Source organism: Homo sapiens, chromosome 21 (genome assembly GCF_000001405.40).
Source record: "Homo sapiens chromosome 21, GRCh38.p14 Primary Assembly".
In the NCBI taxonomy this organism is placed as follows: domain Eukaryota; kingdom Metazoa; phylum Chordata; class Mammalia; order Primates; family Hominidae; genus Homo; species Homo sapiens.
In genome coordinates, this window is record NC_000021.9 from 29,975,304 (window position 1) to 29,988,903 (window position 13,600).

Sequence of the window (13,600 nt, forward strand, 5' to 3'; positions counted from 1 at the left end):
CAAGACGGAAATCAAATATTAAAAATACTCCAGGCTGGGCACTGTGGCTCATGCCTGTAATCCCAGCACTTTGGGAGGCTGAGGTGGGCGGATCACCTGAGTTCAGGAGTTCAAGACGAGCCTGGCCAACATGGTGAAACCCCGTCTCTATAAAAATACAAAAAAAAGTAAGCCAGGCATGACGGTGGGTGCCTGTAATCCCAGTAACTCTGGAGCCTGAGGCGGGAGAATCGCTTGATCCCGGGAGGCGGAAGTAGCAGTGAGCTGTGATCGTGCCATTGCACTCCAGCCTGGACGACTGATCAAGACTCCATCTCAAAAAAAAAAAAGTACTCCAAAACACTTGATAGATTTTTCTCCTAAGCTCTCAGAATAGGAATGACTTAACACAGGATAGAAATCTATTCAACAGATTCACACACATTTTTAGATGCGGTGACTTCACATAGGATGGAAACGGAAGTTTCCATGTGTAATATATAATGACTACCTAGAGATAAGCCTGGTTAAAACAACCTCTTTTGAGATTATAAACTTTTCTGATTTTGCTCATTTGCATAACAAGAATCTTGGCCAAAGTGGCTATGTAGGTTTCATCTAGTTCACATATCTGGCTATGATGGGAGTTCCTCCAGGCCAGTCAAACCCGGGGACACACATGGAATTCACAGTAACTAGTAAGCCACTTCTCTCTAGCTCAGTCGCAAAGTCTCTCACACTGAAGAATAACACACCACTGAAACTTCTCGCTGAGCTCCAGCAGCAGCCAATAAAAGTGTTCCTTTGCTCTTTGGTACAACTGAAGACATTTACATGGACATTTTTTCTTATTCTACCACTCCTTACTCTATTCCTATGTTTATCTCACAGCTGATACTTTTGGGGCTTTTCATTTATCATTTTCTAGTTGACTCCTAAGATAAACAAAGAGCTTACAACAATTCCTAGTACATTATAGGCATTCATTAAATGTTTGCTATGCTGCTGTTGCTGCTAATGATGGTCTTGCAAAATTTTTCATTTCAGAAGGTACCTAGTGTCACTTACTCAGCAACATATGGATTGCATCTTTAGGAATTATCCTTTCTGTTGCATTAGAAGAATCCTTACCAGTTAGAAGCCCCTGTTACCCATACATTATAATGTTATGGTTAAGAGATAAGTATAAACTATATTTAGGAGACATCTTTCCTAGTTATTAATGGTTTGAACTTGGACAAGTTGCTTAAACATTTTGCCTCAGTTTTCTCATTTTTAAGCATTTGACAATAACATATATTTTGTGGAGTTTTTCTGAAGATAAATCAAAATAATACAGGTAAAGTGTCCCTATATACATCTGAGTATCCAGAGACGAGGGATGGGTCATGCTTTACTCCTCATTGTGTCTCCGGTGACAAACATAAAAACAAAAGTCATTTATCCATCTAATGCACAACTCTTTTTGGAAGGTACAATGAGCAAAATGTTCTCTAAGTTTCCTTTTAGTCCTCTATTATACATTTTATTGCAAGTTGTGGAAATAAATTATTCACATTGGATTTACGACGACACATCTTTCAATTATTAGTTATTAAGACATGGTGGTAAAGAATAGCAGCTAATAAATATACAAGATATGATCTATTTTTAAAATCATTATTTTGCAATCCAAAATATTTGGCACATTCAAGAATCATCTATAAATGCTACCCATTTGGCAGAAGCTTTTTAGGGAGTAGAATAACATATGGCCACAAAACATTACTATAGAGATAATTTATCAATTACAAAGGGGTAAATACACTTTTTCTATGGAGAGACCCAGTGGTCACCACTTTAGTGAACGAAATTAGCATTATCAATAATAAGACAACATGACATTATGGGCCTTCCTATGTGACACAATAAGAAATACTGTTATGAAAGATCCTGGCACAAATGTTAAATCTGAAATTGATCGCAAGGTATACATAAGAAAAATCCTAAACAATGACTGGCTTAACCTTCAAGATAACAGAATCATAAGCAGCCACAAAAAAGGTAAAACAATATTTTAGATTAAAAGCAACTAAAGTAGCATAACCACTAAAGGCAATGCATGAGCACTGGTTAATAGATATAAAAAAATTGGGATGGACAATTAGGAATATTTAAATTGTCAACATTTTCATTTCAATTCTAAAAATAATTAATTTGACTACATTTCAAAACAAATATATATTTCAAATATTCTAACATATGACAATGATATTTTGCTTCTGTAGGGAATGATATATTTTGATAAGGAAGTATTCATATTCGTATGTATATATACACACACACACAAACCCACATATATGTAAAGAGAGAGAGACACAGAGAGAGATAAAGAGAAAAATAAAGCAAATGTGACAAACTGTTAATAGTTGGAGAGTCTTGGTGAATTGTAAATGGGTGTTCGTGGTAATATTTCAACTTAATAAAATGGGAGGAAAACTTAATACATTGGGAAGAAAAATACATGGAAGTGAATTGTCTAATTCAAAACACATAACTTAGTAATGGGTTCTCTGGACAACTTTTACAAAAAGGATTCTAGAATAATCCAGTTTGTTAACTTGATTTTCTGTCACATAGTTTTCCTTCTGAACCGGAGGCTCAGTCCCTCACACCCCTGCTGGCATACATGCTTTTAGCCTTCATCCTATGTTGAGTTAGTATGCATAGTGTATACTCAAAAAATGCTAAGTTAATTGATTTTAAAATTAGCTCTTTAAGCACTCAAAACAATTTCAAAGGACACTCTGCTGAAAAACAATTATCTAATGTACTTTATACTTAAATATTCATTCATTTTTGTATTCTACAATGTTGATATTGTCCAAATCTCTGCCAATCACTAGGAGAATATCAAGCTAAAAATTTACTAAATGATTTTTAAAAAGTATATTGCTTATTTGTCTCTTGAGTAGCATGTCAAAAGGGGACTTAAATTAACTCAGGGTATTTCATTAATCACTAGAGAAAAATGCCTAGGACTCATTTTATTGTCAACATTTTGATGATACAGAATTCTAGAAAATTCATCATCTTATTTATGTTTCAAAACTTATACGACATATTTAAAATATTAACATACTACAATGGTATTTTGCTCCTGTAGGAAACAATATATTTCAATACGGAAGTATTCACATTCATATATATATATATATATACACGTACACATATAAACACGCATATATGTAAAGAGAGACACAGACAGAGGGAAGTGGACTCCTCAAACACAATGCTTTAATATTTATCCTTAAGACTAGCATTGTTTTTGACATGACCCTATGATTAATCAAATGCTCGATAGAAGTAGACCACGTTGCTTTGAGTTTCATTAGCCTCACATCGATGTGTCCTAATAGGGAATAGTCAAGATGGTGTGTTGGCCTCTTTGTAGGGTGCATCCAATTTTAACATAACTTCCTGGTCTCCTATGTCAGATTATACCCAGGAAGGCCCAAGGAGGATCTGCCATCTTCAGTCCCCATTTTAATTAGTTCTTCAAAGGCCAGAGAATGTCTCACAGGCACATCTTGAGAAGATCATCAAGGGAATTTGTGACATTGTAATAACTATGCTTCAAAATACCACTGGAAAAAAATGATTCATGAAAGCCAAATATTAGCTAAGCTTTGCATATGATTTTAACTTTCTTTGCTTTTAATACAAGTAACAGAGCACTAGAGTGACTATCCTTACAGGGACAGGAAGGCCCTTGACTCACAAAAAGAACTTGTTCCAAGGCATACAGCTAATTATTTTTATTAAAATTACCAAAGGAGGATGCAAAGTAGCTTCAGTTTCTTCTTCAAGAAGGTATAACTTGCTTACTTGATAAGAATTGGAGATGAGTGGAAACTTATACTTTGTCAGCTAAAATTAATTCACACTGCAAGGGGAAAGTATTTGAATGGTATCCGGAATTGCTTTAAACAAATACACAAAGACTGAAGTACTTATGAGGAATTTTGTGAGGGAGCAGTTGGCAATTCTATACTGATTCTCTCCTACACTATTTTTTTTTTAGCTCTCCTGAAATTTCATGTATTTAGTTTGCTTTGGCAAGATTGTGTGGCTGAAGTAATATTAGTTTTCTTCCTATGTATCTTGCTGGGGAGGGGAAGAAGAAGAAAGGAGATGTGAGAAGAGGAAGACTTAGGATTATTATACTGCAATCCTACATAATAAAAATAGTTTAATCAAATGAATAAAGCTCTCTTTCTTTAAATATACTGGGATATAACTATTTAATAAGGCTCTTCAAATGCGTAGGCTGAGGTAATTTAAGCAAAGTAGCACTGGTTGCATAATTAATGTGACTATTCTGGCCTCAAAAACAGTATTTTTATTATAAAGCTCATTTTCATTCTCTGAATTTGGGAATTTTTTTCACTTGCCGAAGATTGTTTCACATTGAACCTGGGGTGAATGGATTCATCAGGATAGGGATAATTTTATTTGAAAGGGTGTTTATATTTTAGGCAGCCCATAGGAATACCTAGTGAGCAGTACAATGGGTATTAAGGTAACACATAGGAATCCCAGTTTATCCCCTTAGTTTATCGGGGTCTGTAACCATGTGGGCCATCAAGTAAAGAATGAATGCTTTTGTAGCAAACAGATTGCTGTGTATATTGGATAGGACAGAATTTTAAACAACAGTCATAAGCTTTGCCCTTCAGCCAAGTGAAAACAAAAATGATTTGTTCTTCCCTTACTGTGAATTTCTGTAACTCCTTTGACCTCAGTAAATAACAAAATCATTTTCCTTAAAAAAAAGAGGCAGCTATAGAAACTCTATAATGAACTTGACTTTCCCATTCTGTTCTGGTTGGGATAAAGTGGGCAAGTATGGGAAAATATTTTAGGTAGGTGCAAAAGTAATAGCGGTTTTTACCATTATGTTCAATGGCATAAACCACCATTACTTTTGCACCAACCTAATAACAGTGATCCAACTGCCTTAAACCCTCATTGGCAAAGGTAATAAGGAGGAATGTGAGTGTAGAGGATAGCTGGAAAGAGAATCTACCTATCTTTCCTTTCTCTTTCCCCAGCAGAGGCTTAAGGTGACTGCTAGGGTTTGAACGTGTCCCCTCCAAAATACAGGTGTTGAAACTTAATGGCCAATGTGATAGTGTTAGAAGGTGGGGCCTTTAAGAGGTGATTAGGGCATGTGGGCTCCTCCTTTGTGAATAGGATTAAGGCCCTTATAAAAGTGGTTTCACACAATGTTCAGCTCTTGTTCTTCTGCCCTTTGCCATGTGAGGACACAACGTTTCTCCCTTTTGGAGGAAATAGCAACAAGGTACCATCTTGGAAGCAGACAGCAGCCCTCTGGAGAAACCCAAACCTGTTAGTACCTTCATTTTTGACTTCTCAGTCTCCAGGTCTGTGAAAAATAAATTTCTTCTCTTTATCTATTATCCAGTCTCAAGTATTTTGTATTTAAATAAAAAGAGCTTTATTTATTTGATTTACTTGATTATATTTGTTATTTAGTCCTTAGTCTAAACAGACTAAAACAGTGATGCTCTGTGCCATTCCACTGTCATGAGGGGATGACATACTAGTCAAGGGCATAAGATACCCTGCCAGGCAGTCTGCAAAGGACACATTAATAGCCACATAACTACTTTGCATCTTTTTAATTAGATAAGATTATTGTGTTGCTGGAAGAGGCTCTAGAATTTGTCAGGGACACTTAAGAGTAATTAACCCAGTGGAGAAGTGAATACAAAACACTTTGCTTTGAACTTGCATACAATTTTTACTTAGAGTTTATGTTAATTTGAGGTTTCCTTTGGTGGCTGGAGTAATGCACATTAGAGGAGTTGGACCTTGAAGCCAAATTTACAGAGCAAGCACAGTATTTATTTAGAACGTGTGTTTTAGCTGGGACAGACTGCAGTGAGCTATTGCTTCTATGCTGTCAGCCAGGCTAGCCCTGGGTGACGCCACTAATGGTGAGCAAACTTTTTTTCTCTTTTTTGCACCTCATAATCAGGAATTTATGTTGAATTATCTCAGTGCTCACATAATTCTAATTTCCATCTTAGCTCTTGTGCTACCAAATAATAAGCTATATGGCAATCTGTGCCATTAAAATGTCAAGGTGCTTTGTGAATCATCCCCAGAAGTTTGTTGATTGCCATTTCTTATATTTAAGCAAAAAGGAAACTGGGACATGGTGAAACTAAATGTTCCTGCTTTAAAGAACTAAAATTCATAGGCTTACAGCTGAATCCATTAAATTGCATTAATGCATTGTTGAAACATATGTAATTCTTCCAAAAAGAATTTTAAAAGAAGTAAATTTTTATAATTTATTTATAGACATGAAAGAATTAAAATTATTTTATAGAAATGATGCATCTGTATTACTCTCCCTTATATGAACAGCAGCTCTTATAAACCTAAATGGCTATGAATGGAACTTTATGAAGTCTAAAATATTTAAATGTTATTCAACAAAGCAATAAAATTATGAATGTGCAAGGGAAATTATTTTTATTATGGGGATTTGTATGTTGGTAATGAATCTTATAGTTAGCAAATTCTCATTAGGATTTCTTTAAGTTAAACTGTCCTTTTATTTTTTTGCAGTTTAATTTCTTAAAGACTGAATGACTTACATTACATTTAAGGGAAAGGTTTGTGAGATGGCTGGTTATTACTGAACCGTAGCCTCAGAGTGCTTTCATCTGCTTTGTACATTTCTTTAAATTTTGGAGGTGGAGGCCCCTAATACTATCATTACTGAGACGTTAATAGAAAGCTACCTAATCAGTGCCAAAAGTTAAAAGCAAACATTGGTGAACACATATCCATTAAAATATGTTTTATCTGCCTGTCATATTTTCTTAGTTGCATTTCAGTAATAAGCTTCTTTACATAATAAAATGGCAGTTGTATCCTACAGAGTACTTGTGAAATTTGACTGCAATGTAAATCACTCTTGCAAAATGCCTTGAAGAAGGATTTGTTTCCCTTAGATTCTGAATGGGAATAGTATTACATATCTGGTCCCTGTAAACATATCTCACACTTGAGGTTTATGATTCTTCCAAATAGAACTTCAACAATGATTCTTCCAATGGAACTTGAGGTTTATGATTCTTCCAAATAGAACTTACATATCTGGTCCCTGTAAACATATCTCACACTTGAGGTTTATGATTCTTCCAAGTAGTAATCATGAAGAAATTACCAATGTTATGCGATCATTTTACACAGTTTTAAAGCAAGATTTCTTAACCGTTTTTTTACAGTTTTAAAGCAAGATTTCTCATTATTGCCATTTTAAGCCAAGTGACTCGTTGTACGGGGCTATCCTGTGCACTGTAGGATATGTAGGAGCATCTCTGGCATCTATTTGCCTATTTTGACAACCAAAAATATCTCCATACATTGCCAAATGTTCACTTGACCCCATATTAACCCTGGTTGAGAAACAATATTTGAGAGGAATTATATCACAGAGGGAATAGAAAGGTAAGATAAACACAAGAAAAGTACTATCCACCAGACCCTTTCCTTTTATCTGAAAATGGCCACCATTTGATCACTTAGTGCTTTTAATAACCAGGTGCTTTTGCTACTTAGAGTTTGACTCATTCAACCTTAAATGTAATCCAATTCAGGGCAGAAAGTATATAATCATAACAAGGTTCCCAAATGCTCCCTTTTTAAATCAATTCAATCGCCAGAAATTTCCTCTCTGTTCACCAAATTAACAGCTACTCAAGGAGCTCCTGGTTCAGAAACAAGAAAGCAGAGACTCACTCTTTCTCCTCCTTTCCTTTAAATGTGACTAACAACCTGGAAATTGTTCAACAGATAATGATAAAAGGACTCTGAGATCTGGAAATAAGAAGACAAACTGACAGCAAACCTCCGTACTTTAGGAAGGATACTGCAGTAAGTTCCCTGGGTTTTATTTCAATCTCCTATACACCTCCAGACCAGGCACTGAAGAGGCCCGCAACCAGGAACCACCAATGGGCATAGACAAAAGAATTCAAGAAAAGCCATTTTTTCTGTCCAAAAGAATTGGAGATGGGAAGTCCAGCAGACCCCTAGTAGGGAGCCCTAACTCCTACTCTGAGAATAAAGGGTGATTCTATCTGTTGGCAGCAGCAGCAGCAGCAGCAAAGCCCTGGACTATCCCAGCCTCTGCCCTACAATTAGGACACTGGTGGGCACTTTAATCTGCCCACGGTATTGGCAGTAGTTATGTGACTTTCTGGTCTCACTTGTGGATTAAGAAGATCCAAGCCCAGCAACTACTGCTTCCCACACAAGATTGCCCAGAAAGAACAGACAGCCCCAGAAAGCACATTCTGTCCCCCTCAGCGCCATCAAGGATTGAGTGGGAAGAAAGACAATGCAAAAAGAATGAAGCAAACCAGAATGGCACTGCAAGGGCTCAGAAAACTGAACTCTCATGGGAACTAAATCCCACAGAACTAGGCACAAACCTACCCTCTAAACCTAAACAAGGCTGAATGCTTTCTAAAATAGAAAATTTACAAAAAATAGAGTCTTCTAGCATAATAAGTGTTCAGGACAAAATTAAAAATCATTTGTCATATCAAGAACTAGGAAAATCACAATTTGAATAAAAAGACAATCAGTTGACGCTAATACTAAAACAAACCAGATGCTGGAATTGTCTGAAAAGGAATGTAAAGCAATTGTTATAAAAATGCTTCAAAAAGAAATTACAAATTTACAAATGTAATTTATTCAACAAGAAATTACATTTACAAATGTTTTAATAATTAATTATGGATTACTATAATAAATTTATAAATTTTTATAATAAATTACAAAATACAGACAAATGAAAAATAGAATATTTCAGGAAATAAATAAATAAAAGTTATAAAAAGAACCAAATGCAGGTTACGGAACTGAGAAATATCATACCCTAAATCAAAACTTGCCAGATTAACTCAATAGTATAGGATATGATAGAAGACTGATAGAACTTGGAGAAAGAAAAATCTAATTTATTAAATCTGAGAAACAGAGATAAAATATATGGTAAAAATAAATAGAATATCTATTGGCAATGACAAAATATCTAATATTTTGTATCACTGAAATTTCAGGGAATGAGAAAAAGTGTGGAAATAAAGAGGTATTTGGAGAAATAAAGGCTAAAACTTTCTTCAAATTGGTAAGAAACATTAACCCACTGAATCAAGAAGCTGAGTGAACCCCAAAGAGTATAATTCAAGAAAATCCACCCCAAGACAAATCATAACTAAACTTCTGAAAACTAAAAGCAAAAAATTTTTTAGAAACAGCCAAAGGAATGAAGTATATCTTACAAAGGAATACCACGATAAGTAACAACAGATTTCTCATCTAAAACCGGATGAGAAATTACTTCTGGATGCCAGAGAAGAAAATGGAGTATTTACAAGCACTGAAAGGAAATAACTGTCAACCCTAAATTCTATATCAAGGGCAAATATCCTTCAGGAGTGAAAAGGAAATATATATAGTCTCAGGCAAAAGAAAACTAAGAATTTCTTGGTAGCTGACTGATATGGTTTAGCTGTGTCTCCACCCAAATTTCATCTTGAATTGTAATCCCCATAATCCCCATGTGTTATGGGAGGGACCCAGTGGAAGGTAATGGAATGATGGGGGCGGTTTCCCCCATGCTTTTCTCATGATAATGAGTGAGTTCTCATGGGATCTGATTGTTTTATAAGCGTCTGGCATTTCCCCTGCTGGCACTCACTCTGTCCCACTGCCTTGTGAAGAGGTGCCTTCTGCCATGATTGTAAGCTTTTTGAAGCCTCCCCAGCCATGCAGAACTGTGAGTCAATTAAACCTCTTTCCTTTATCACTTATCCAGTCTTGGGTATTTCCTTATAACAATGTGAGAATGAACTAATACACAGACCTACTGATAGTGGCAGAAGACCAACAAACTCCTAGGCAGACAGGGATGGGTCCCCAGTAAAATCTGACCTTCAAGAAGAGATAGCCTGAAGCCTGAAAACTGAGCTGCCATTTCTAGGTAGAGTCTAGGATTGGAGTGACAACTTCCTTGAGAACTTTTAGCCAATCGAATGGTGCTTTTTCCAGGCCCTGCCCATGGACCAATCAGCATGCACTCCCCCATTCTGAGCCCATAAAAATCCCTGGACTCAGCCACACAGACTGAAAGCTACCTGCTTTCGGGCTCCCTCTCACAGCGGAGAGCTACCCACTTTGGGTCCCCTCTTGTGCCCAGAGCTTTTCTGTCACTCAATGAAATTCTTCTCTGCCTGGTTCACACTCTGGTGTCCATGTATTTCATTCTTCTTGGTCATGGTACAAGAACCTGGAACCTGCCACATGGCAGGTGCAAAAAGAACTATAATATAACTCCCCATTCACTAAGCTGTGGGCATCAGGACCAAATGAGCTGTGACATACTCCTGTTTGCCAAGCTGTGGGTGGTGGGAACAAGCGAGCTATGACATGCCTCTGTTCACCAAGCTGCAGGTGGCAGGAACAAGCAAGAATTGTAGCATTTCTTGGGGGCTTGGACCTCGGGAATCCCTAGGCGAGAGCCATAACACCCCTTGGGGCTACGTGGTTGCTGGCATCTCCAAGTTTTCAGGCATCACCACGATTCTCTCATCTAGACGCCAGTGCCCAACCCAGAGGTTGCTTGCAGCATGCCCACTCCAGCCATGGGTTGAGCACAGATCCTATGGTGAGCGCAGGATCTGGGCTGCGACACCAGTTGAGCCCAGTCTGCTGGGCCGAGTGGGCAGAGTGAGCCTGGTGGGCCCGAAATACGCCCCAGGCAGAGGTCATGGTGGCCCCAGAGATTTCCAGTTGAGGAAGCAGCACCAAAGGAATTCTGTAACACTGTAACTCTTGCTCCTGATTGCTGAGCTACAAGAGTGAAAAAAGCTGCTTGGGTGCCATTCCCTCTCACAAGCCAAACTACACAAAAGCCGCAACATTTCCTTTAAAGAATGGCTGATGGAAGATCTCCAAATACAATGCAAGTGATAACAGAAGACTGAATGGAAATTTCAGAAAAGAAAGAAAAACAATGCTATAGGTAAAAATAAAAGTAAATAGACTATCCTCCTCATGAATTTCTTTAGTCATATTTCATGGTTAAAATAAAAGTTATAACTTTTATCATAAAATTTATAGACAAAAACTTTATGTGGTCCCCAATGTATGTAGAAGAAATAATTAAGAAAACTGCATATAAACGGTCAGTAGGATAAAGAGATTTAAATGCAAATAAGGTTTTTACATTTCACTCAAAGTGGTAACATGTTGAAACAAATAGGCCATGATAATGATATGTGTATATGGTTATACATAGGAAAACACTGAGAAAGCTACATAAAGCAATATACTAAAAAACATAAATAAATCAAAGTGAAACACTAAAATATTGTTCAAGGAACCCACAGGAAGGAAAGAAAAGAAACAAAAGGGTGAGAAATGGAGGGAAGAAACAAAAAACGAATAATAACATAGCAAACATAAGCCCTAATATAACAAATAATTAATTACCTTAAATGTAAATGGTATAAATATACCAATTAAAACAGCAGAGATTGATAAGGTGGATAAAAACAACTGTATGTTGTCTACAAGAAAGTTAATTTAAAAATAACAAACATAAGCAGGTTGAAAGTAAAATGATAAAAATAGATGTATCATACAAACATTAATAGAGAAATCAAGAGTTACTATATAATACCAGATAAAGTAGGCCTCATAGTAAAGAAAAGTACTGTGGACAAAATGTTGCACTATAGTGATTTAAAAAAATTTATTCATCAAGAAAATATAGCAATTGCAAATGCGTATTTACCAAGCCAGAGAGTTTCAAAATAAAGATAAATCTATAATTGTAATTGGAGACTTTAATACCCAACTCTTAGCAATTTTAAAACCACTAGAAAGAAAGTCAGCAAGGATATTGAAGAACTGGGGGCCAACATTAATCAACAAGTTGCGACTGACATTTATGGAACACTTCACACAGCAGCAAAAATATACACAATATTTTCAACTGCTTATATACATTTACCAAGATAGAGCATATTTTGAGTCTTAGGCAATAAAAAAGACTTGAAATGATACACAGTATGTTCTTTGAACATAGTGGAATCATGGTAGATTTCAACACCTAAAAGACAATTTAAAAATCTTCAAATACTTGAAAACTAAATAACATACTTTTAAATAATCTGCAAGCCAATGAGGAAACCTCAAAAAATGTTTAAAAATGCATAAAAAGGAATGAAAATCATATAACATATCAATATTTATGTAATACAGCTAAAACAGTACTGAAACAGAAATCTATGTTACTAAATGTTTACATTAAAAAAGAGGAAAAGTCTCACATCAATAAGAAACTAGAAAACAAGAGGAGCAAAATAAACCCGAAAGAAGCAGAAGGAAGAAAAAAATAAAGAGCAGAAATTCATAAAGTTGAAAGGATAAAAACAACAAAATAAACTGAAACAAAAAGATGGAACTTTGAATAAATGAAGAAAATTGATAAACTTTTACTGTTATCGATAAAACTAGCAGCAGATAAGACATATTTTGCCACTGTCGGAAATAAAATGGAATATCTCTACATATCCTGCAGCCCTCAAAGCTGCATAAGGCTGATAAGGGAATACTAGGAACAACTTTTCATTCATCAACTCAGCAACTTACATGAAATAAAAGAATGTTTTAAAAACAAAAATTACCAAACTCGACCAAGATGAAGATAACCAGAATAGTCCCATACTGATTAAATAATTTGAATTTGTAATTTACAAGATCCCGGAAAAGAAATTCCAGGTGATTGCACTAGAGAATTTTACCAAAGAAGAATGGACACCAAATTTACACAATTTCTTCCAGAAAATGGAAGAAGAGGGGATACTCTCTAACTCATTCTAGGAAGACAGTGTCACCCCGATACCAAAACTAGACAAACATTACATGCAAAAGAGAGAAATGCATACAGGAACTTAGATGCAAAAATCATCAACAACATTTTAGTAAATTGAACCTGACAATATATAAGATCAATGATATACTATGACCAGAATTTATTCCAGTTATTCAAGTCTTGCCCATTACTTGAAAATCAATCAATATAACCCACCGTATCAACAGGCTAAATTAGAAAATCCATATGATCATATCAATTAACACCCGAGAAGCATTTGACAAATGCAACACTGATTTATGCTAAAAACTCTCAGAGCAGCAGGAATAGGAGGGAACTTTCTCAGCCTCATAAGGAATGTCTACAAGTTATCAATTCTTAAAATCATATATAGGTATAACACAGTTCCTGCCAAAATTTCAGCAAGGATTTTTGTAGACATAAACAAGATTATTATAAAATGGGTACAGAAAGGGAAATGACCTAAAATAGCCAAAATATTGTTTTTTGTAAAAAAAAAGAATAAAGTAGAAGAAATCACACTTCCTAATAGTAAGGCTTACTATACAGCTACAGTAACAAAAACAATGTGATACCAGTGGAAGTACAGACTCATAGATCAGTGAAACAGAATAGAGAACCCAGAAA